This window comes from Homo sapiens, chromosome 5 (genome assembly GCF_000001405.40).
Source record: "Homo sapiens chromosome 5, GRCh38.p14 Primary Assembly".
NCBI lineage: Eukaryota > Metazoa > Chordata > Mammalia > Primates > Hominidae > Homo > Homo sapiens.
The window spans coordinates 149,618,493-149,642,704 of NC_000005.10; the positions used below are offsets into that span (position 1 = coordinate 149,618,493).

Below are 24,212 nucleotides of genomic sequence, written 5' to 3' on the forward strand. Positions count from 1 at the left end.
CAGTGTCTTGGGCCACTCTCTTTGGGGCCTATTTACACAGATAGGAGAGCTGGTCTCTGGGTTTGGGCAAAGGACCAGCCCTAAATAGCTACTTCTAGCAGCACAGGTTGGTGGAGTGCCTGCTCTGAAACCAAGCATGCTCACACAATGAAATAAGTGTTCCCACTATCCCCATGAGAAAACAGAAACTCCGAGAGGGTAAAACCCTTGTCCAGAGTCACACGGCTAGGAAGCCAATGAACTGGGGCTCATGCTTGTGTATCCGATTCCATGCTCTGAATGTAAAACCACTGAGCTACACCACCCTCTCAGCTTTGGGGTTGCGAGAACCAGCTCTGGTGGGCGAGTCTGTGGAAAGGTTGTCCCAGTGAGGACCTGGAACACTGAAGCCGGTGTACACTGCCCCCATGTGGATATTCTCAACCCTCACACACATTACTTTCAGACAGAAGACAAGGAATTTGATGATTTAGAAGAGAGGTTCCAGTGGGTGTCTCTGTGTGTGACTGAGCTGAAGAACAACGTGGCTGCTTACCTGGACAATCTGCAGGTGAGGACACTGCAGGGTTCATAAAGGGCGAGTCTGGGCTGGGTTCCCCTGGCAGGAGGCTTGCAGGGCCCAGCCTACAAGCTGGGAAAGGCACCAGCCTCAGAAACCAACCAGATGAGGTCATCCTGTCTCATCTCTTCTGGAGAATGCTGGCCAGCACTCCTCAGCCCCAGGCCATTATACTGGGGGCAGCTCCGAGCCCATTGGAGTTCCTACCACATAGGGCCAAAATTCACTGGAAGCAGAGCCCCGCAGAGCAACTCTGCCAGACCAGCACCTAGAGCAGGGGAGACAAACAGGTGCCTAAAGGGGCCAGGCAGGTAATGCTACTGAGTGAAGTGTGCAGGTAACAGGCAATCCAATGCAATAGGAGCCTAGTGTCTAACAGGCTGTTTATGAGACTTTTCAGTGAACTTAAATATAAAATAATATTTGGAATTTGAAGGGCTGAATGAATGAATACATGAATCAAATCTAAAGGAGCAGCTATTCCTCAGCTCTGGGGGGTTGTTGCTGGGTGAGAATATGGGCCCAGTTCTTCTGACTTTAAGAAAAACACACCTGGAAATTCAGGTATTTTTCAGATTTTTGATGACATCTCCTGATGCGTCAATGTGAGCAACTAATTAAATGAAGATTTAAATGCTATGGGGCATTTTTTTAATGCATTGATGTAAATAGGAAAAGTTAGAGAAAAGTATTAATAGAACATGTGGAATATGGACATGGGAAAAAACAAACGCACTGCTGGGTGCAGTGGCTTACGCCTGTAATCCCAGAATTTTGGAAGGCCGAGGCGGGAAGATCACTTGAGGTCAGGAGTTCAAGACCAGCCTGGTCAACATGGTGAAACCTTGTGTCTACTAAAAATACGAAAAACATTAGCCAGGCAAGGTGTCACACGCCTGTAGTCCCAGCTACTCAGGAGGCTGAGGCAGGAGAATTGCTTGAACCTGGGAGGCAGAGATTGCAATGAGCCAAGATCATGCCACTGCACACCAGCCTGGGTGACAGAGTGAGACTCTGTCTCAAAAAAAAAAAAAAAGAAAAAGAAAAAAACCCCACAAAGGTGGCATGTAAATGTATGAAGTTCAAGAAGCACTGGAATGAGGAGAAAGATGTTGACTCAGTCTAAGGCGGAACTTTCTAATCACTTAAGCTGTGTGAGAATAGAATCAGCTGTGTGTGTCCCTCTCATTGGGGGTGTGTAGAGAGCCTGGAAAACCTCTTCAAGGTATGGTGGAAGGGGATTCCAGCGTAAGATGGCCATGACAGGCATGATTGGATGTTTCTCCTTGGTACTGGGTCCAGGCTTTCCTCTACTTCAGGCCGCACGAATACAATCTGGACATCCCCGAGGGGCCTGCAGTGCAGTATTGCAATTTGGCAAGAGACCTTCACCTTGAGGCCTTCCTGAAATTTGTGAGTGGAACCTTTCCTTTCTCCTTTCTTTGTTAGGCAGGTGGTAGAGCTTACAAGAATAATATTTAGAAGTCAGGCACTTTGGCCAGGCGTGGTGGCTCACGCCTGTAATCCCAGCACTTTGGGAGGCCGAGGCAGGCAGATTGCCTGAGCTCAGGAGTTTGAGACCAGCCTGGGCAATACGATGAAACCCCGTCTCTACTAAAAATACAGAAAATTAGCCGGGCATGGCAGTGTGCACCTGTAGTCCCAGCTACTCAGGAGGCTGAGGCAGGAGAATTGCTTGAACCCAGGAGGCAGAGGTTGCAGTGAGCCGAGATCATGCCACCGCACTCCAGCCCGGAGACAGAGTGAGACTCCTTCTCAAAAAAAGAAGTCAGGCACTTTACACAATTGCCACATCTGTAATCTTCCTGAGTGGTCAGCAGCATAGAGATTATTATTAGTGCACTTTCCTGATAAAAATAGCCCCCACTAACATTTATTGAGCCTCACTATCTGCCAGGCTCTATGCTAAGCCCTTTATATTCCTTACATCATTTAATCCTCACCATATGGTTTTGGGGGTGGCTACTTTGAATAACCCCATTCTGCAGGTGAGAGATTGAGGCTCAGAGGGGGTCACCTCCTGGGTCATTTATACAGATGGTCAGTGATAAGCTGGGATCTGAGCCCCAAAGACTCTTGACCACCACTCTATACAAAATCTTTTCTAAGGCTGGGCAAGGTGGCTTATGCCTGTAATCCCAGCACTTTGGGAGGCCAAGGCAGGAGGATTGCTTGAGCCCAGTTGTTAGAGACCACTGTGGGCAACATAGACCCTGTCTCTACAAAAAATAATAATAATAAAATTAGCTGGGTGTGGTGGCATGTGCTAAGGTGGGAGGATCGCTTGAGCCTGACAGGTAGGCTGCGGTGAGCTGTGATTGCATTGCTGCACTGCAGCCTGGGAGACAGAGTGAGACCCTGTCTCAAAAAAAAAAACAAAAAACTTTTTCAAGGTCTTTGCATAATAATGATTCAAAGTGCTATATAAGATTGAATGCCTACTCTGTGCTAAGCACTCTGTTAAGCTCATTACATGCATCGTCCCCATTTTTCAGATGGGCAGATTGAGGCCCAGAGAAGTTAGATAACATGCTAAAGGTCCCAGCTAGTCAGTGGGAGTTAGACTGGAATCCAGGCCTGCATGCTTCCAAAGCCCCTTCTCACAGCCCCTGCCCTTTGCCACCTCCTTTCCCGACTCCCACGCTCATGTCTCCCCACAGAAGCAACGGCTAGAAGGCCTGGTGTGGCAGCCACTGTGCAGCCTGGCCAAAGCCCTGCTTGGCCCTCAGAACCTGATCAAGAAGCGTCTGGACAAGCTACTGGACTTTGAGCGGGTGGAAGAGAAGCTGCTGGAGGTGGGCAGTGTGACCTACCAGGAGGAGGCCGCCCGGCACACATACCAGGCACTCAACTCGCTGCTAGTGGCTGAGCTCCCACAGTTTAACCAGCTGGTCATGCAGTGGCTGGGCCAGATCATGTGCACATTCGTGACCCTCCAGAGGGACCTTGCAAAGCAAGTGCTGCAGAGGGCAGAGGGAAGCATGGCCCAGGTAAGGCCTCTGAGACTTGGACACCTGTGGGGAGTAGCCAGGCAAGGCCCTGCAGCCCCATCAGCCAGCTGTGTGTAGGGGCTAGGATGGAGGGAGGATGGGCCTGAAAACAGGTCATCAGGCCCTTAGGAAGAGGCAGTGGGAACCTTCCAGATCTCTCTCATGCCCAGTCTCCCTCTGTTAGTGAAGTCAGACCATGAAAGCAAGGATAGGACTGAGATTTCAGACCATTCCCAAGTCCTGCAACTCAGAAGCAGAAGAAGCTTTGCTCATACAATGGCAGATCTTGGGACTGATCTCTGGAGTGTACTAGAAGTTGATGACAGAGACAGAAGGTCGTTTCTACACAGTAAGGAGTAAATGTCTCAAGCCGGTGTTACTATTACTACTTCCAGCAGCCATCTTCTCATGAGTATTTAGGATGTACCTGTTTGGAGCACTCTCCATGCATGATCTCATTCAATCCTCACAACAACCCTACAGAGGAGGTATAATTATACTCATTTTAAAAATAAAGAAGCCAAGGCACGGAGAGGTAAAGTAGCTTGTCTAGGGCCACACGGCTAATAGCAAGCATTGAACTCTGACAGTTCAGCTCCAGGGCCTGGACTCTGAACCACAACACTCAAGAGCCTGTAAAAGGAGCTACCGGCTGAAAGCATAAATAGGTTCCACAGAGGTTTGGATAAACCTCCAAATGCAAACTTTGATTTTAGAATTTGGAAGACTGGAGTTGATACAAGAAAGAACACCCAACTGCTTCCAGATCTTGCTCTCAGATGTCAACATGAGAGCTGAATTGCTGTTGGGTCCCACCTTGGGAGCAATTTCAATACTCCTAATATCACACACTGTTTCCTGTGTGTCACAGTCTCCAGCTCAGCTTTTCCCCATCCAATTCTTTGCATGAAAACTCTACTAAGATTTGCCTTCCCCACCCCATCACCTTTCTAGCCCACAGCCCTCCCCTCCAGCACACAGCTGCTGGATGTGGCCACTCTGCACAGACACCTGCCTCAGCTTAGAATGCCCCTCTCCATTGTCCCTGAGCACTTTCAGTGTCTGGCATAGAGTAGGAGCTCCCCAAACAAGTGGCAGATGAATGAGTCTCTCCATGAAGCTCTCAGAGCTCCCCATCTCCTGAGGGGGAGAAGTCATCTCCCTATCCTCTGTACTCCAGCAGCCCTGTGGATGGAACTGTGCTTAGTACTTTTCAGAGCCTGCCTTCTGCTGCAGGAATCCATGAATGTGTTTCTCCTCAAGCATGGGGACTGGGACTGCAAGCTTTTTCTCTTTTTGGCCCTCACAGAGTTCTGTCCCAGACACTCTGCAAATTGAATTAGGCCTGAACCATCAGTAAAAGAACTGTCTCTTCCTTGAGGGCAGAAGAGTAAATCTGATGAGGTTATCTTTTCCCTCTCCTGTAGCCTAGAGGTTTTCTCTCTTGGGCTGCCCCCAACCCCTTGCATTAAATCTGGGATGTGCAGAGCTAGGGAGTGTTTGGGGATGCCAGTAGAGAGGTGGTCACGTTTATAAAAGCAGAAAGTAAGGGCGCTTCCTGATTGGTCCATCAGAGTCTGCTGGTGACAGCTGCCAGCCTGCCTTATCTGTGTCCTGTGGTCCATGCATGTGGCCTGTCCCTGTGGAGCCTGGAAAAGGCTGCAGGCAGAAACCTCAATCTCCCTGAATCCTGGTGGGAGGAAGGCTCTAGGTCAGCACTAAGAACAATGAGTTTGGTGACAAGCTGTGAATCTGGTGACAAGCTGTGGCATCTCACTCACTCCTAGGTTGTCTGACGAAAATGCAAGAGATCCTGCACAGGGTCAAGGTCTCAGGACAGAGTATCACTCAGAACTCCTTGGGTTGAAAATAATATAAACCCAAAGCAAGCCAGGGATCTCATTGTCCCCTCTTGCCCAGCTCTGTTGACAGTGTCTGTCCCCACTTAGCTGCCCCACCACCACGTCCCAGAGCCTGCCTTCAGGAAGCTGGTGGAGGACGCACTGGGCCGGACGAGTAACCAGCTTCGCTCCTTTCAAGAGACCTTTGAGAAAGTGCAGCCACCTCCCACCACACAAGTAAGCATCCTTCCTCCACCCCAAAGACTGTCCAGTTCTTCACTGGCCAGTAGGGTGAGGCTCCATCCATCCCCTCTTTCCTTTCCTTTTTGGTCCCCCAATGTTTCCTGTTATCCATGGAAATATGTTCTCTTCTCTCTCCTTTCTATTTGAGCTGGGGTGGGGGGACACACCCAGATACATACACACTCTTTACATCCAAGAAGTAGAAGAAAAGCACAGAACTTCTGAGTCAAGGAAAAGAAAACTCAGACCTTTTAATATTAAGTGAAATTAGACGTAATGATGGGCAACTGGCATTGACATCCAAAAACCTAGAACTTCTTCAAATTGTCATCAAAAGGTATCCTTGGCCAGGCATAGTAGCTCACACCTGTAATCTCAGCACTTTGGGAGGCCGAGGTGGGTGGATCACTTGAGGCCAAGAGTTCGAGACCAGCCTGGCCAACATGGCAAAACCCTGTCTCTACTAAAAATACAAAAATTAGCTGAGCGTGGTGGTGTGCACCTCCCAGCTACTTGGGAGGCTGAGGCAGAAGAATTGCTTTAGCCTGGAAGGCAGAGGTTGCAGTGAGCCAAGCAAAGGTATCCTTTTCCTTCCCTGCCTTCTAATGCCAGCTTCAACATGAGCATTCAACATAAATAAAAATTTTGATTATGTCATTTAAATTTCCTATCGCTGTGGTATTTTTTATTGCAAAGAACAGTATTTCAGCTGCATGATGGTTTACAAAGCTTTGGCTGACCAAATGCTTTTGGGTTTTTTTTTTTTTTTTGAGATGGAGTTTCACACTGTCGCCCAGGGTGGAGTGCAGTGGTGTGGTCTTGGCTTATTGCAACCTCCACCTCTCAGGTTCAAGCAATTCTTCTGCCTCAGCCCCCCGAGTAGCTGGGATTACAGGCACCCACCACTACGCCTGGCTAATTTTGTATTTTTAGTAGAGAGGGGGTTTCACCATGTTGGCCAGGCTGGTCTCGAACTCCTGCCCTCTGATCTCAAGTGATCCACCCGCCTCAGCCTCCCAAAGTGTTGGAATTACAGGCGTGAGCCACCACACCTGGCCCCAAATGCTTTTTAAAAAATGTATTTTCCTTTAAAATATAAGGAGAGGTTATCTGTTCTAGTCACTTGTAAAGTGTACCCAGGCAGTCTGTGTTTTAAAAGTAACTGAAGCAGCTGTAGGGAGAAGGGTCTCCTCAGACTGTGGCAAGACCTGGATCTGAGAAATTGAAACTGTCCCCTCACATGCAACATGTGAACTGAAGAGTCAGAAGACAGCCCTGAGATTCCCCAGAGGGAGAATGGGGCCCCAGGGACACAGAGAAACAAGAACAGGAGCCCAGCAGAACAGGACAGATAAAGGTAGCCCACACCTGGCCCAAGTGCCGCGAACATGGGAGACCTTCACAGCCTGATATCCGCCACAAGGCTGCAGGCTGACTCCTCATTGGCCCCATCTGTCCCCGCTCTTACTCTACATGGAGAGTTTTGCCCAGCAGAGACCTCACCGACTAGGGGTGTGCCGTGGGCCCCGAGACTCGGGGAGAGAGCACGGGTGCAGAGGATAAACAGCAGAGCAGCCACTTGAATGTGTCACCCCTTCCCACCCTCCCACCTCTCCACACACACACACACACAAACCTCCTGCACATTCCTGATGTATTTGGCTGAGGGTATAGAACCCAGCACAAGTGAGGTGGTCTCCCCGGACAGAAGCAGCCCTCATGGGATCTTTACAAGCCCTCCTTGGGGGCCCTCCCAGGGGTGACGCTGTTCTCTGCATAGGGAGGGCCGGTCAGCCTTGAGAAAGAAGGCCAGCATTTGTGACACCACTGGCTCTTATACTCACATGCATATCACTGTCCTAAAAGAAATGACCACAACACCACTGTTCTCAAAGAAAACTACCTCGTCTCTACATTCCTGTTTAAGGACCTGTTTAGAAACATTGGGATCTCCTGGTTCTAAATCCTGAGACGCCATCCCCTTTGGGGCAAGGATGTGGCAGAGTCTGTGGCCAAATGTTCCTGAAGGGCATCTCTGCCTGCCTCCCCACACCCAGCACCTCCCCACAAGGAGTAACCACATAGAGCATGGTGAACACACACACACACACACACACACACACACACACACACACACACACGCCTCTCTCAAGACATAGAGTAAATATATATTTAACATATTTAGTTTCTTATTGATTTTGCAAAAAGAGGACAAGCATCCCTGAGTCTCTCCTTGTTGATACTCTTCTGGAAGCAGTATCATGCAATGGAAAAACAGGAAATGCCAGGAGATTTTTGGATAAGCTGAAAGTGCCACCGAATCATTCTTTCCAGCTAGATGGCAATTTCGTCTAGGTAAAACTCTCTCCTGTATTTCTACTACACCATTCTCAAAGTTTTCCACAGTGCCCTGTAAATGGCAGGTGCTCCATAAATGCCTGTGGACTGAAAACTCATGGAATCAAAGGTTACATGCCCTCGTTCCTGCATATGTGAAATCCGCCATGTGCTGGCCCTGGCTGGCTATTTAAGAAACCAGATGAATAAGGTCTGGTGCCCACATGAAACTCACACTCTAATGGAATTGAAAGACCTGTCCAGGGCATTCTGCTGTGGGATAACTTACCCTGACGGTATGGGCAGAATTTAGGGCCCAATCCTAGGAGTTCAGTAACTGAGAGATTTCAGAACTTGAATTGGAATTTTAGAGAATCCCAGAAATTAGAAGTTTCTTCCAAAACGCCGTAGGCTGCTAAGAGCCAGCCATCTGCTAGTGAGGGCCCTGTTGCCCTGATCAGGGTGGGCCCTTCAGTGGCAGAGTTAGGATCAGGCCCAGTACTCCTGGCTGTCAAAATGTGAGCAAATGTTGGTGCCAGCTTTGACAGGTTTATTCAAGCACTTGTGTCTGTCTGTGCTCCTCCTCTCCCAGCCGCTCCTTCCAGGGTCTGAACGCCAGGTGCAGGCTCTCCTGAGCAGGTATGGCCCTGGGAAGCTGTACCAGGTGACAAGCAACATCAGTGGGACTGGGACTCTGGACCTGACTCTGCCTCGGGGCCAAATCGTGGCCATCCTTCAAAACAAGGACACCAAAGGCAACAGCGGCCGCTGGCTGGTGGACACCGGGGGTACGTGAGCCTTTGGGAGCCCTTCTTCTCCTTCGGGGAAAACCACCCCACAGAAGCCGGTGCAGAGACCCGGGCACTCTTGTGGGTCAAAGTCTGGCTGGGCATTCCAGGATGGGAGTAGGCACAGGTGACACACACAGGGCTCAGGGCACAGTCAGTTTAGAGTGACTCCGTGGGACATGAAAAGCCAACAAGAGGAATTGAGGCATTCGTTGCAGGGTCTACCATGAAGCACCTATGGTGTGCTGGGCGCTGAGCATATAAGACAAGGCCCCTGCCTGGAGGGCCTTGCAGACCACTGAGGTCAACAGGGCTATATGGAGAGAACTCCAGGACCACCCTGAAAGATGGAGATGGGCACGGAGATAGAATGCCTGGACCCTGGCTACACCGCCAGAAGTCTGATGTGCAGAATGAGGGGAGCGATCATCCTGCCCACTCCATACTGGTCATGGCCTTGGGAAGTGCTGCTGAGGTCTGGGTGCCCCAGTGTAACTGGGCTGAAGGGAAGTGGCACCATGAATCCAGGTGATATGGCCCAGGAGAGCATCTTCCGAAGAGGGGTGTGTGACCCACAATATGAGGGGTGCCTGAGATTATTGTCAGGGGATCCACAGACAGTTTTTCCCCCTTCAGACAGTGTATTATAATTGTTACTTAAGCATTTTAATGTGTATTAGAAAAAATATAAGTAGTCCATAATTCCATGATTATAATCATATTATTGTATATAGTACAAGATGAAGTTTTAAAAAGTGAGTCAATTAAAAAATTAAGAAAGCGGTACAAATCAGACAGAAATCATGAAACAGCACTTCCATGACTTAAGGTGGGAACCACAGAACGGGTATTAAGCAAGGCCCCCGAGGCCAAGAGGACTGGATTTGGATTCCAGCTCCACCACTTTGCTGACTGTGTGATCTCAGGGAAGTCATGGAGCCAGTCTGAGCTCGGCTGGTTGAACGTAAAATGGAGAGGATAATATCACTGGCTGCCCTCAAGAGGTGATGTGAAGACTATGTAATGAAATGCTTGCTCTGTAGTTTGGCACACCCTCAGGAAGTGATAGCCATTCATAATGACAGCAATCAGAACAGCACTGGACTAGTTGCTACACATAAAGGAACTGGGCTCACATGGAGAGGAGAAAGGCAGTCTCCGCCTCCTAGGAAAGGCAGTCCTGGGGAGAGGAAGCAGCTCTTGCTCTGGGCAGACACCAGAGGGGCATGGGAGCTGGCGGCTCCATCAGATAAGCAGTTTTCATGCCAGTCCAGGGACAAACTTTTAGTCTCTATCATAGCTGATCAAAGGGAGTCGTCTGTCCGGTAGGGAATGAGCCCCCCATCACTGGGGTGTGTGAGCAGAAGCCAGAAACGGTGAGTGTGGGGCAGGGGGGTTCAGGGTTCCTAGATGACCTTTTGGTTCTCTTGGGTGTTGAGAAGCTGTGTTGGAAACATTTATATCCATGGATTTTCTCCCTCATTAAAAGGGACGGGAAGGTGGCCCGCAGCCTGCTAACCTTCTGCATGCTCCCTAGGACATCGTGGGTATGTGCCGGCTGGGAAACTACAGCTGTACCATGTGGTCCCCAGTGCAGAGGAGCTCAGAAGGCAGGCGGGGCTGAACAAAGACCCCCGATGTCTAACACCGGAGCCCAGCCCAGCTCTAGTGCCCTCTATTCCCACCATGAACCAGGTGAGTATAGGAGAGGGCTGGGGGCTTGCCTCCCATCGGCCATCCGGACTGTGGCTTGGATTTTCCTTCTCTCTCAAAGTCTATGCCCCTCCTGTCTGGTGGGGCTGCCACTCTGTGAGACCAAGGCCTTGATCAATGGCCATGCCAGTGTCCCAGCCAGGAGTGGGACCTGAAGAAGGGGGCCTCCCACCCCTACCACAGCAACCACAAAGAACTAACCCCTTGTTCCTCATCAGCAGGGCAAGTGAGATTCATTCATTCATTCATTCATTCATTCATTCAATATTTGCCAGGCACTGTACTAGATGAGAGATACAATGATGAGCAAAACTAAATCATGGTCTTTGCTTTCCTCAAACTTCTAATCTGAGAGTAGGGAAAACAGTGATTAAGAAAATAATTTCATGACTAACTGAAGTTAAAGTTAATAGCAGAGGTAAGTACCAGAGCCCTAGGTGTGGAGAGGTCCAGGAAAGGTTTTGCTGAGAAGAGTGGTGCTTTTTCTCAAACAGGAAGGGAGAGAGGGAATTAATTGGATAAAGAGGGTGTACTGGGGTGCAGATGGAAAGAGCTCTGCAGAAAAGGCCCAGTGACAGGAGAGGGCAGGAGGTATATGAGGAACCGAATGAAGCCAGTGTGGCCGGAGAAGAAAGGGGACAGACTGGAGTGTCGTGCTGCTGGAGAGGTGGGCAGGGACAGGCCAGCAGGGCCTTGTGGCCTTGACAAGGGTGTCAGTCTCAGTCTTTCTCTGAAGAGCAATGGGCAGCATGTGTATGCGTGTTCATGGCGGCATTATTCATTGCAGCCAAAAAGTAGAAACAACCCACAGGCCCATCAATATGAATGGATAAACACAACGCGAGCTCTTTGTACAATGGAATATTATTCAGCCATAGAGACGAATGAAACACCGGTACATGCTGCAGCATGGACAAGCCTTGAACACATGCTGCTAAGTGAACAAAGTCAGATGCAAAAGGCCACATAGGATTCCATTATGTGGATGTCCAGAATGGGCAAATCCGTAGAGATAGAAGGTGGATGAATGGCAGGGGCTGGGGGTGGGAGGTGGGGAATGGGGACTGCTAACTGGTGTGAAGTTTCTTTTTGGGGGTGATGAAAATGTTCTGGAATTAGATAGTGGGGATAGTTGCATGTGTCTGCAAATATACTAAAAACCTCTGAATTGTACACTTTAAAAGGGTGAGTATTATAGAATGTGAATTATATCTGAAAAGTAAAGTGTTTGGAAGCCACTAAGGGATTTGGCTTTGCAGGGATGGAGTCCATGAGCGGGGAAGAAGTTCAGTGGGATGTTGGAAGGATGGGATGAGACAGTAAAGCTGGGCTGCATGTATTGTGAACCTCCCTCAATGGAGGCAGCCCTCACAATGATCAGCAGTTGAGGGTGGCAGGGGGTGTACCACAGGGGAAGCAGGAGCAACAGAAAGGATCTGGACAGAATCGGATGCCTCGGGCCAGGGTGGCTGGAGGAGCCTGCCGCAGGCTGTGAGTGCTGCATAGGTGTCTGGGAACCCTCTGCTCTAGTGCTTGTGCCACACCCACCGGGAAGGCTGTCAGGCCAGCATCCTTCAGCAGTAGCCAGAATTAAAGCACCAGGGGCTACAAAGCACCCACCAGAGCCCCACGGGAGGGCCTGACCACCCAGCTCAGCCTCTGCCCCGGTGCCTCTGGGGACAGGAATGAGGTTACCCCCGCCGCCCAGCTCCAGTCAATGGGGGTGGTGTCTCAGGGACTCCCCATCCAGGGGCTCATTTGGGTGAGCTCAGCTGTCTATCTGCCCAAGCATATCAGCTGCTTCCTCTGGGACTCTGCAGGACTTGCCCGGGATCATCCCAGCCCTTCCATGGTGCTTAATGTTCCTGAGGCTTGACCATCAGTAATGACAGTAATGGTAAAACAAACAAACAAAAAACCTAAGCAGCCTGCATTTATTGAGCCCTTGCTATGTATGTATCAGGCACTGTGTAAAACCCTACACATGTATTCCTTCATGAAATTCTCTCAATGTCCTGAAGGGGATGGGACCATTCCCTTCATTTTGCAGGTGGTAAAACAGGCTCAGAGAGGTTAAATATTAGCCTAATACATGCCCTCCTTGCCAATTGTTTTCTCTAGTTCAATTTATTTTTCTTTCTTTCTTTCTTTCTTCCTTCCTTCTTTCCTTCCTTCCTTCCTTCCTTTCTTTTTTTCTTTTTTTTTTTTTCGGGGTCTGGCTCTGTGGCCCAGGCTGGAGTGCAGTGCCATGATCTCGGCTTACTGCAGCCTTACCTCCCAGGCTCAATTAATTCTCCCACCTCAGCCTCCTGAGTAGCTGGGATTACAGGTGTGCGCCACCATGCCCGGCTAATTTTTGTATTTTTAGTAGAGGCAGGGTTTCACCATGTTGGCCAGGCTGGTCTTGAACTCCTGATCTCAGGTGATCTGCCCTCCTCTACCTCCCAAAGTGCTGGGATTATAGGCGTGAGCCACCACACCTGGCCCAGTTCTATACTTTTCTGTAAAAAGTAAACAAGTTGCCCAAATCCTTGTCTCTACTTTCAGCTGGGAAACTGGCCTGGGCAGCTCAAACCATTAGATCTGGAGAGGGAGAGGGTGCTGAGTCTGCTCAGTGATGTGGCAGTAGTGGATCAAAAATATCTGTTTGGAGGTCAGACAGGCCTAGATTCACTGCTGTGCAATTTTGAGTAAGTTCCTTGACTTCTCTGATCCTCATTTTTCTTATCTGAAAAATGCAGCAAATAGAATGATAGAATTATTGTGAGAACCCAAACCCAGTAGAGTGCTAGGACAGTGCCAGTCACATAGTATGGGCTGTGGTACTAGCAGATGCAGTCATTGCCTTTAGTACAAAAGATGTACTTGGGAGGTGACGAGCATCCAGCAATGGGGACGAGAGCCAGGTGGATGGGAACAGGATAAACAGCCTCTCTGGATCCAGTCTGTCTACCTTCTCACCCTGACCATTTCTGTGTCACTCCCCATGTGTTTCAGGTCATAGCCGCGTACCCTTTTGTGGCCAGAAGCAGCCATGAAGTGAGCCTGCAGGCAGGCCAGCCTGTGACCATCCTGGAGGCCCAGGACAAGAAGGGGAACCCTGAGTGGAGCCTGGTGGAAGTGAATGGACAGAGGGGTTATGTGCCTTCTGGCTTCTTGGCCAGGGCTCGGAGCCCAGTTCTGTGGGGCTGGAGTCTGCCCTCTTAGGGTACCCTCTTTGGAGCCTACATTGCCAAATGATGGGGGAGGCTTAGAGGCTCTGACCCTGGGGGGAAAAGAAGCAAAGGAAAGGTGGAGGTGGAAGGGAAGACCAGGCCAGGGTGGGTGAAGCACACTCAGGAGGCAGCCAGAAGACATGGGCGGGCCTCGCAGAGTGCTTGGTGTGGTGGGGGCACAGGAGGCTCCAGCCAGGACTGCTCATTATGTCTGCATAAAGAACTCATTCCGACCTGGGGTCACAATGCACTTGGACAGCAGGTCACAGCTGATTGGCCAGGACTCTCCATAGGTTATGGCCAGTCTTAGCTGTGCCTGCATCCGGGCCTGCCTGTGGGCGTGGGTCACACGGGATAATGTTACCTGCGTGCTGTGTGGTTGCAGGAAGCGGGTTCTGGAGGAGTCCAGAACTGCCTGGTCAGACAGTTCACTTCCTACACATGGTATCAGGAGACATCATAACCAATGAGTCAGCTTTTATTTCTCTATGCTGGAAGCTGAGTTTATCTTGGGCAGTGACCCACTGGGAGCCCTCTCAAGTGGGGAAGCCATGGATTTATCGGTGTAGCAGAGAGGTTCCCAAGACTCTTGACTGGTCCTGGGAGTGGGTGTGACCAAGTCATAGTTCTGGAATGTGTGTAGGCAAATTCAGAGGCTGTTCCAGGGAAGAGGGGATTTTGATACTGTGTTAGGTGGGGTGTGTGAGGCTGTTGGCAGCAGGTGAACAGCTACTGCTGTGTTCTCAGGACTAGGGAACAAAGGGGTATGCAAATCATAGAGGAAACTCTGGGAAGGCGGTGATAAGGCCTGGTGGGTGGGGAGGTTAGGGAATGGCTTGCTTTCCTGTTTCTGGTTAGAAGGGGAGCCAGGGGGAACCCCCAGTGGTTTCAGGTGGCCCCTGAGGTCCTGGAGGCAGCCGTGGATGTGATGCAATTGGCTGTGGGACCTTAGATGTAGGACACAACTTCAGTGTTCCCATCCAGAAAGACCTCACTCACAGGGTTGTGCTGAGAATGACGTGGGGCTAAGCATGCAGAGCTCCCTGTAAACTGTGAAGTGTGATACAAATGTAAATGACAGCAGTGATCTCGGGGTGGCCCCCGGCATGCTGCCCTCCCCCACGCCCATGCCTGTGGCAGCAAACCTTGTTCATCAGTATAGCTTTCTTTCCTGTAACCCAGGATCTACCTTGGGGGGCTTCTCAATACTGCATTCTATGTAGCCAGCCTCTTTAACTTGGTAAGTGAGCCACCCCATTCTAGAACCTGGAAATTGGAGCCCCTCAAAAACAGTTCCTGTTCAAGGAGGACTGACCTGCTGGGGCAATGTTGGGTGCAGTGCAGTCCCTGCTTGGGGTGGTCATGTCTAGGCTGTTGCTCTGGGCAAAGATAAGTTGCAAGATTCACAGAAATGGGAAAATGTGACCAAGTGTGATCTTAACAACTGACAAAGTTTGTAACCAACCCAAGTTAGAATGTGTGTCAAACAGGAGGTAGTTTAGATATGCTTCCAAGAACATGTCTGTGTTATAACCATAGTGCCTAAGCAGTGAGCTCTGGTTTTTGAAGGGCTTTTAAGAAATATATACATGTCTGTGTCAGTCTATAACTTGCCTCCTCTGGGCCTGTTAAAGCATGAAGACTGCATGACACAAGAGAAATGCAAGCCCTACGGTTCCTTTCTCAGCAGCGAATTCACTTGAGAGGATGCTCTTGACTCATTCTCTCTGCTCTTTCCTGCTCAGATTTCTGATAAAAATAGAGAGCATAGGGGAACAGATAATGAAATAGGAAACCCACTCGTGGGTTCCACAGATACCTACCGAAGGCCTACTGTGTGCTAGAATTGTAGCTCAGGAGTTCTCAGTGTAGCTGCTCACTGAAGTTACCATGGCAGGTTTCAACTGGCAGAATCCAGGCTCCGTCCCACCCAGAGATTCTGATGAAATTGGTTTAGGGTGTGGCTCGGGCCTCAGGAATTCAGAAAGCTTCCCAGGTGCTTCCAATGTGCAGCCAGGGTTAGGGACCTCTACCCTAGACACAAAGTATTGGACAGATAGACCTGGTGCCAGAGATGGCCATGAGCTGTAAGCTAGGACGTGCCCCACCTGAGCTCTGCACTAGCTAGTTCAAACAGGCGCTTTAAAGGCAGTGTGAAAGGGGACAGCCTGTTCTGCCAGGTCTCAGAATGTATATTTATTAAGTGCCATTAAAAGGGACCTGAACAAAATTGGATGTCTTGTAGGCATAAGGGAGGAAAATAAAATATACTTGGAACCAAGTCTATGTCATGAAGGGAAAATAAAAATGTATTCAGTAGCACGTGGGTTATGGTTTCTCATAGACCAGGGGATAAGATTAAAAGTCACTGAAGAGTGGGAAAATGCATGTTGAGAAGATGAGAATGGCCTGTATTTTCTCCAGGGGAATCTGTGTAATGTGCCTTTTCCCTCTCCAAATGCCTAGAACCATGGCACTGTGTCTTATTTATTTAACCGTTGGGCTGTCTCATACTAAACTTGCAAAGATATTTGCCTATGAACTGAACAAGACTTCCAGGAGTTGAAGTCTGGTTCACAAGGGTACCCCTTGCCTCCTGTGATGGAGTGAGAACTCTTAAACCCCTCAGGCCCCAACTCAGTTGTGGAGATGAGGACAAGATTACAATATCAAAAGAAAGATGAATGAATTCTTGGTTAATATGACGAACCCCAGCTCAATGAGTAACTGATGTGAACTGCTGGGAATAAAGGACTTCAAAGATGGAAAGTCTCTGGAATTTGTGTGACTCTAAACATTGGGTAGCCAGATGCCCCGCTGTGCCATTTGTTTGCTAGACACTTGCTGTATATAAAAATAATATCTTGTTTGCTCAGGTGTCCATTTAATGGACACCCTTCACGCCTCAGGGAGCTGGCCTGAGCTGCTGGGGGATACAGAAAGAAATCAGACAGATGAGGCCCGGTCTTCCAGATCCCAGTCTCTAAGGCAGGCAGATGAGGCACCCATCAATTACGTGCCGTGTAAGTGTCAGGATGAAGTAATGGCAGGTGCCACGCAAGCCAGGGAAGAGGCCTACCTCTGTCTCAGACTTGGCGGCCAAGGAAGGCTTCCTGGAAGAGGTGATATCCAAGCTGAGGCCCAGTGGGTGGTTAGGTGAAGATGGCAGAGAGAGAACATTTGGAGGCCCAGAAGTGCAGCAAACATGGAAAGGAGCCTTGGATTTTATTCTGAGGGCAGTGGGGGAGGCATGAAAGGGTTTGAAACAGAGGAGTGATGTGCTCAGGGTTGTACTTTGGGAAGATCACTAGGCTCTGACTGTGTGCCTGTTGCGCCCACAGGCAACTGCATGCTCCTTGAGGCTGAGAACTTCTGATTCATCCCAGAATCTCCCTAAGCCTTTGTCATGTGCCTCAAGTACTAGATGTTCAATACATATTGCTTAGTAAGCATCCCAGAGAGGATAGGAACACCAAAGCCTTGCCTTCAAGGACTCTCCTGGCCGACTGGAGAGTCAGACATCAAGCAGTTATCTGGCCCTACAGGAAAAGATGCCCTCAGCCCCAGAGGGGTGCTATGGACCAGGCATATAGGTGCTCAGACAAGGGAGAGATTTGGGAAGGCTGAGGTGGCCAGGGGCAGTTTCCTGAGGAAGGTGGTGCAGGTGCTGGGCCTTGTGGGATACATAAGATTGGAGAGAGTAATCCGGCTGGGTGTGGTGGCTCACACCTGTAATCCCAGCACTTTGGAGGGCAAGGCAGATGGATCACTTGAGGTCAGGAGTTCAAGACCATCCTGGCCAACATGGTGAAATCCTGTCTCTGCTAAAAATACAAAAAATTAGCTGGGCATGGTGGCGTGCGCCTGTAATCCCAGCTACTCGGGAGGCTCAGGTAGGAGAATTGCTTGAAACTGGGAGGCAGAGGTTGTAGTGAGCCGAGATCACCATGCCATTGAACACCAGCCTGGGTGACGAAGCAAGACTCTTGCCTCAAAAAAATAAAAATAAAGCAATCCTATGGGATTACTCTGTCATCTACAGGATGGAGGCCTTCTCAGGCCTGGGAGGCAGTGTGGTGGCATGAAAAGGCCCAGCACTTGGCCTCAGAAAATCTAAGTCCACACCAGGCCCCAGTACCTCATGCCTGTAGTCCCAGCTACCCAGGAGGATTTCTTGAGCCCAGGAGGTCGAGGCTGCAGTGAGCTGTGATTGCGCCGCTACACTCCAGTCTGGGTGACAGACGGAGACCCTGTTTTTATTTATTTATTTATTTATTTATTTTTATTTTTTTAAAAAAGAAAAAGAAAAAAAATCTGAGTCCAAGACCTACTTGGCCATAGGCAAGCAGCAAATGTCTTGACTATGGATGGACCGTGGTTTCTATGTATGAAGACATCTGCTGATGGCCCCCAGGCTGCTCTGTCCTCCCACTCAGACTCAAAAGTACTCACTGCAGAGTTCTGGCCATCTCAAGGGTGTGGCAGGACAGAGCCTAAAATACCCTGGGCTGGGGCAAAGGAAAGAGCTGGATTCCACTCTGGCAACATCATGGAATCTGGGATCCTGAATGATTTATTCACTTAACCTTGCTCATTTTTTTTTCTTATCTATAATTACCCAACTTACCTTTTCTGTTTTCTCATCTGTAAAATGGATACAATAATTCCTGTTCTCCCAGGGTTGGTAAAAGGATTAAATAAGGGACAATCAGTGTGCCTGGTGGTAGATGTACCAGGAATATCACTGATATGCATTGATGGCACAGAAGAACTGTGACCACCAGGTGGCAGCAGGGGATCAGCTAAGGGACGGCTGGGAAGCGCCTTTGGGATCAATGCGAAACGCCCATGGTGCCAGGCAGTTAGTGGAGATGAGAGGAAGGGCCAAGTGAAAGGCATTAGGGGGTGGTGGGGACTGTGTTGACCAGAGCATGCACACTCAGTCTAAAAAGCTGTAGCTTCTTGGCTCCAACCAACTGTTCCCACATCAGAAGGAGGGTGCCGTGGTACCATTCTGATATTTCAAGAGAAGCCGCCAGGAACCAGAGTTTTTGTTTGTTTATTTATTATTATTATTATTATTATTATTATTATTATTGACAGAGTCTCGCTCTGTCTTACCCAGGCTGGAGTGCAGTGGCACGATCTCGGCTTACTGCAGCCTCTGCCTCCTGGGTTCAAGCAATTCTCCTGTCTCAGCCTCCCGAGTAGCTGGGATTGCAGACATGTGCCACCACACCTGGCTAATTTTGTGTTTTTAACAGAGATGGGGTTTCACCATGTTAGCCAGGCTGGTCTCAAACTCCTGACCTCAGGTGATCCACTCGCCTCGGCTTCATAAAGTGCTGGAAATACAGGCGTGAGCCACCGCGCCCGGCCTATTTTTATTTTTTGATGTGACATCTTCCATGTGGAGATCGCGTAGTCCACAACAGTTTGCCTCCTTGCATATTCTGCCTGAATGTGGGTTGAGTGTTCTTGGTGGAGATCTTCTCTGAAGAATTACTTTCGTATCTTCGTATTTCCTGTGAAATCCCTTTCTCCATCGTCACTTTAATCATCCCTTCATCAGACATTAATTTCCCTTCCTTAGATCTCTGGGAAGCATTGTTTCCTTTGTTAATGTTATTATTGTTGTTATTGTCTTCAAATTTTTATTGTCGGTCATATTTTCTGACCCACTAGACAGGCTCCCCATAATACTAGCATACAAGGTTCTTCGGAGAATTAAATGAGATGCTGACATAAACCACTTAGCCAAGCACCCAGCCCATTAGTGCTCAATAAACCTACTTGTCATTATTATAGGGACTTCCGAGGAGATGCGTGAAGTTTAGAGGAAGGTTTGCAGGGCCTGTCTGCCTCCCTCTATGTGGGATGCTGATGAGGCCACTCTCCTATGTAGAAGAAGGCCCCTTGTCCTGGGTCCTGAGGGCTTAGCTGGGGTTGGGCACAGCTCTTCACTCAGGGGCTGCTGTCACACCCCACAGGCATTCCTGGGGCTTTCCTTCCTCTCCCATCCCTGGTGCTGCCAGGCTGGGGCAGTGCTCGTAGGCACAAGCACCTGAGGGTTTCCCCGCCTCTCTCCAGCTGTAGGGTGTTCTGGCATCCACTGCATCTGCACAAGGACAAGCCGGGCAGGTAACCAGGCAATAAGCAGGCACACTGGATACTGATGGAGCAGTTCCTGTGGTTATAGGCTCAGGGCGCTTTGCAGCCAGGAGCATCCTTTTAGGTGTTTCTAGGGGACGCAGCAGCTTTGGGGCCCAAGAGTCTGCTGGAGGCTTCAGTAGAAGCTTAAGGAGTGAAAAGAAGTGGGGATCAGTTTGCCCTCATAGACTGTCACTTATGACTGGGCTCAGGAGCACTAGCTGCTGGCCTTCAGTTAATCCTGGAGGTCTCAGGCAGGACATCTCAGCGTCTAGGACATCTCAGAGTGCTTCTGGGTTTCCCATCTTGGGCCTGTCTGCCTGTCATTGGTCCTCTAGGGTCTGGATATCCTCAGGGCCTGTGAGTGGAAACTGAGTTGTAAGCAGCGGCTGCCGGTTTGGGACAGCCCTGACCCTCAGGCAGGCTGGCCCGGGGGAAACCCAGGACTGGCGCCCTCCCATCTTGAGCAGCTCCTATCTCCAGAGGTGGGCTGTTTGCTTCCTTGCCATCATGTTTGTTCCCTGCCTTGCTCTGCTCTGTGCTGCAGGGAACTCCATCTCCCCGGCTCCCCTCCCCTCTGGTTGCCTGGTAGGTTTGGCCAATGGGAGGCACTGGCAGGTGGGAGAAATGCCTCAGTTTCCCCCCTCTCTGCTTCAGGTAGCATCTCTGACAGTGGCCGGTCTCCTCTGTGGTCCCAGCTCCCACTGGACAGCCCCTCCCTTGTGGTCCCACGTCCCATCAAACAGGCCTGGCTGTGCTTCCAGTTTCTGTCTGGTGACACCAGATCCTAGACACTAGGATCTTCCCCGCATCCCTCCAGTGGAGGGGTTGTAATGTCTTTTTGCTATTGTTCATCTCTGGGGTGCTTCTCAGATCTTTCACCTGTGTAACCTACTCCCCAGAATGAATTCCTTCTGTTCTTTTTAAAAATTTTTAGATGGAGTCTCGCTCTGTCACCCAGGCTGGAGTGCAGTGGCATGATCTCTGCTTACTGCAACCTTCAGCTCCTTCAGGTTCAAGCAATTCTCCTGCCTCGGGCTCCTGAGTAGCTGGGATTACAGGTGCCCGCCGCCATTCCTGGCTAATTTTTGTATTTTTAGTAGAGACAGGGTTTCACCATGTTGGCCGGGTTGGTCTCGAATTCCTGACCTCAGGAATTCCTGACCACCTAGGCCTCCCAAAGTGCAAAGATTACAGGTGTGAGCCACCGCGCTCAGCCCAAATTCCTTCTGTTCTAATGCATAGAGTAGTTTCTGCTTTCTGACTGGACAGCAAAATACCACTCAGAAGCCAGGGCTGCAGGGAGGGGCTGGGTCTTGGTGCTATGGGATCCCTGGCACCTCCCTGGTACCTGGTCCCTCAGGCAGCCCAGCCCTTGGGGAACAATGGAAATCATCTCTAGGTCTGTCTGCACCTTCCCTGGTTCAGGGGGCTGTCAGCCATTCCTACATGGAGCTCTTGGAATGTCTTCAGTCCCAGAAGAACTGAGCTGGTCATGCTCCAGTATCAGTGGCTGTGGTAGTCTGCTGAGCTGCCCCAGTCTTGGCTGGCTGAGACCATTACTGCCAGGCCCAGAGCAGACAAACACAGAGGAAATCCAAGGGCACTGTGTCAGTGCAGAGCCAGGGTTTGGGGAAGGGCCAGGCCCTACAGCCCTGGGGGAGGGGAGGAGGAAACACAATTTTCTAGCCATGATGCCTCAGCAGCATGTGTCTGGCCCCTACTCAGAAGGGGCAGTGAGCCCCAGGTTTGGGAAATGGGAAGTGGGATGGGGCTTCTGGCCAGGGCAGAAGCTGCTGGTCTTGGGGTCTCAGGGCTCCTGGGCACATCAGTAGAGCCTCTGGTGTGGGAATAGAGCAGCACGTTAATAGCAATAACTGCAGCATCTATTCACTACTCACAAGGCTGTTTGAGGTTAAACGAGGGAATCCACTTTACAGGACTAATTCAATGCCTGGCACATAGGAAGCTCTCAAGAGCTGCAAGCTAAAAGACCAAACACAAGTCTCAACAGCAGCCAGCTGCCATGGGCCTCACGCTGTTGGGCTGTCATGAGACTAGTGGTCTGGATGGAGCCCCAGGCCTCTCCCCTGGGGCAGGGCTGGAATTGGGGACACAGATCCAGCTAGAAGAGGGCCGAGTCAGGTGAAGGATCACGGGAGTTGGGAGGGCATGGTGATTCTGGGGCACACTCCCCAGGGATGTGGGGGAGGCAGCAGGTGTCCATCAGGCAGTTGGAGCTGCCGTGGGACACGGGAATGGGCATCTCCTAGTGTCCAGGCAGGTCAGAGGTCAGAGCCAGGTCAGACTGTGGGCAGCAGGGTTTCAATCTTTGGTTGGGGTTCAAGCACTAAGCTCTGGGGAAGGAGAGATCAGGCCGATGAAAGATACAGAGATCATAGCAGGAGGCAGCATTGAGAACTGGGCACAGGGTTAGAGTATGACTGTCAGTGCAAGGGACTTTGTATTGGGCTCTGGTGGCTGCCCTAGAGCTGCTTAAAACCCTCCCATATGAGGACAGCATGGTTTTAGGGAGCCATGTGGGGCCAGACTTGGGAGAGTGTCTTGGGATGAAGAGGTGGGGTGGTAGCCAGAAGGCCAGACTTCCCATGCAAAATACCCTCGTTCAAATCCTGTCCCCACACTTACCAGCTGTGTGGCCGCCTTCAAACAAGTTGCTTCATCTCTCTGACGCCTCACTTTCCTCACTTTCCTCCTTGTGGGCAAACCAGGAAAGAGTCCTGCCGATGGGGTTGTTGGGATGTGGACACAGGATACATCACGGGAGACTTTGGCACTCTGTCAGGCACATAAAAGTGCTTAATAACAACTTGATCCTTGGCCACACAAGCCAGTTTTGATCCCTCCCCCGCCCTTCCCCGTATTTCTTCCAAGTGTTGCAGGCAGCGACCCCACACTCACACCCGCTGTGCCTTCAGCTTTCTCCCTAATGCCCATGGCTCTGACCCTTCACCGCCGGGAATTCTGAAAAATACCCCATGGCTGCCTGAGTTCTTTCAAAACTGAAAGCAAGTAGATGTCTTAAGAGGCCAAAGGTTGTTCCCCTGGGAACGTAACTGTAACCATGTCCTCAAATACTCTCTGGCGATCAGTCGGCCATCTTGAGTTACTGCAGGCTCCAGGCGCCTCCCCGGTCTGCTGATGGTGCGGTTGCAGCTGATTGGCCGGCGTGTGGGAGTGCACCTTCCCCCTACTTTTTTGTTTTTTAATTTTTTAATCATCTTTCTAAATGCTTTTATTTTCATTTTTCATCCTCCCTGCTCCCCGAAAAAGTCATGGGTCAGAACAGCAACCATAAAATACAAATGCAAACACAGACCAGGCACAGTGGTTCACACCTAAAGTCTCAGCACTTTGAGAGGCCAAGACGGGAGGATTGCTTGAGTCCAGGAGTTCGAGACCAGCCTGGGCAACATGGTGAAACCCCGTCTCTCCAAAAAAATACAAAAATTAGCTGAGTATGGTGGCACATGCCTTTGGTACCAGCTACTCGGGAGGCTGAGGCAGGAGGATCACTTGAGCCTGCTGAGGCTGAGGCTGCAGTGAGCTGAGATCTCACCACTGCACTCACCAGTTTGGGTGACAGAGTGAGAAAAAAAAAAAGAATACAAACACATTAATACACACACACACACAATTGGAAAAATCTCAACATCCATCCCCTTCTTTTTACACACCCCCATCCCACCTCCCACACCAGAGATTCCAGGGTGTGGCACTCCCCTTAGGAGCATTGTGCCTCCACCCCTACCTTGAAAATCACAGCTACCAGCCAAAAGCACTTTGTCCAGATTTACTTTCTGTCATTTATGCTGTGGGTATAATTTTTTTGTTGTTTTTCTTAATGGATAACAATATGCATGTAATACATTATTTTTAATAAAATTAGATATTAAATTTAAATTATATAATCCTCCCCCCAAAATTCGGTCACATTTCTTTAGCCCCCTGTAAGGTACAACATCAACAATAAACACCTACCCTGCAACTTGGAGCTTGCAAACACCTAACCTGCAATTTACTAAGAGGGGAAGATGACGGCAAGCAAGGCTTTGTGTCACTCTTCCCATAGTCTTCCCCTCTTAGTAAACAGTGCCATCATCCACACAATTGTTCCCACCAGAAACCGGGGCCTCATCCCTGATTCCTCTCTTCCTCTCAGCCCTTCACATTCAAACCTTTCATTTTCCCTCCCAAACCTACCTGAAATTGGTCCACTTCTGCTCCACCTCCACCCTCTCCGCAACTTCACCCATCATCTCTTGTCTGGACTCCTGAAGGTCTCTGTTCCCACCTCAGCCTTCACCCACAACCCACTCTCCATAGTGTAGCAA

At 49.9% G+C, this 24,212-nt stretch overlaps 2 protein-coding genes across 11 annotated transcripts in view, besides 1 other annotated feature; one reads left to right on the forward strand and one right to left on the reverse strand.

Annotated features, from left to right (window-relative positions):
* ARHGEF37 (Rho guanine nucleotide exchange factor 37) overlaps positions 1–16,476 on the forward strand; it is an 83,344-nt gene extending 66,868 nt beyond the window's left edge. For 5 of the 7 annotated variants that reach the window (XM_011537642.4, XM_006714784.4, NM_001001669.3 and 2 more), the window contains 7 exons: positions 446–550; positions 1,862–1,972; positions 3,241–3,570; positions 5,520–5,648; positions 8,584–8,779; positions 10,317–10,474; positions 13,490–16,476. In XM_011537642.4, the coding sequence (XP_011535944.1) occupies positions 446–550; positions 1,862–1,972; positions 3,241–3,570; positions 5,520–5,648; positions 8,584–8,779; positions 10,317–10,474; positions 13,490–13,699 (1,239 nt within the window). In that variant the 3' untranslated portion in view covers positions 13,700–16,476. The remainder of the gene's footprint in view (positions 1–445; positions 551–1,861; positions 1,973–3,240; positions 3,571–5,519; positions 5,649–8,583; positions 8,780–10,316; positions 10,475–13,489) is intronic. The other 2 variants (XM_047417170.1, XM_017009460.2) reach the window with 1 other exon arrangement.
* Positions 13,467–14,666: an enhancer, noted in NCBI's record as "CDK7 strongly-dependent group 2 enhancer chr5:149011522-149012721 (GRCh37/hg19 assembly coordinates)". NCBI's record gives its function as "activates an origin of replication core promoter dependent on BRD2, BRD4, P300/CBP, MED14 and CDK7 cofactors, with strong dependence on CDK7, by STARR-seq in HCT116 cells {active_cell/tissue: HCT116}" and the evidence as "EXISTENCE:reporter gene assay evidence [ECO:0000049][PMID:35650434]".
* A 2,274-nt stretch (positions 16,477–18,750) lies between the features above and the next one.
* Positions 18,751–22,989, reverse strand: LOC124901104 (uncharacterized). 4 transcript variants are annotated; one of them, XR_007058990.1, is made up of 3 exons: positions 22,780–22,989; positions 22,507–22,656; positions 18,751–20,215 (listed from the first exon to the last, which is right to left on the reverse strand). XR_007058990.1 is itself a non-coding variant. In XM_047417992.1 (3 exons), exons 1-3 carry the CDS (start codon positions 22,942–22,944, stop codon positions 19,668–19,670), a joined length of 495 nt encoding a protein of 164 aa, XP_047273948.1. In that variant the 5' UTR covers positions 22,945–22,989; the 3' UTR covers positions 19,258–19,667. The 4 variants fall into 4 exon arrangements, 3 of the variants coding, with proteins under 3 accessions (XP_047273948.1, XP_047273949.1, XP_047273947.1); XM_047417992.1 differs by having other exon boundaries at positions 19,258–20,003; positions 22,936–22,989; XM_047417993.1 differs by having other exon boundaries at positions 19,258–19,825.
* Positions 22,990–24,212: the final 1,223 nt, after the last annotated feature.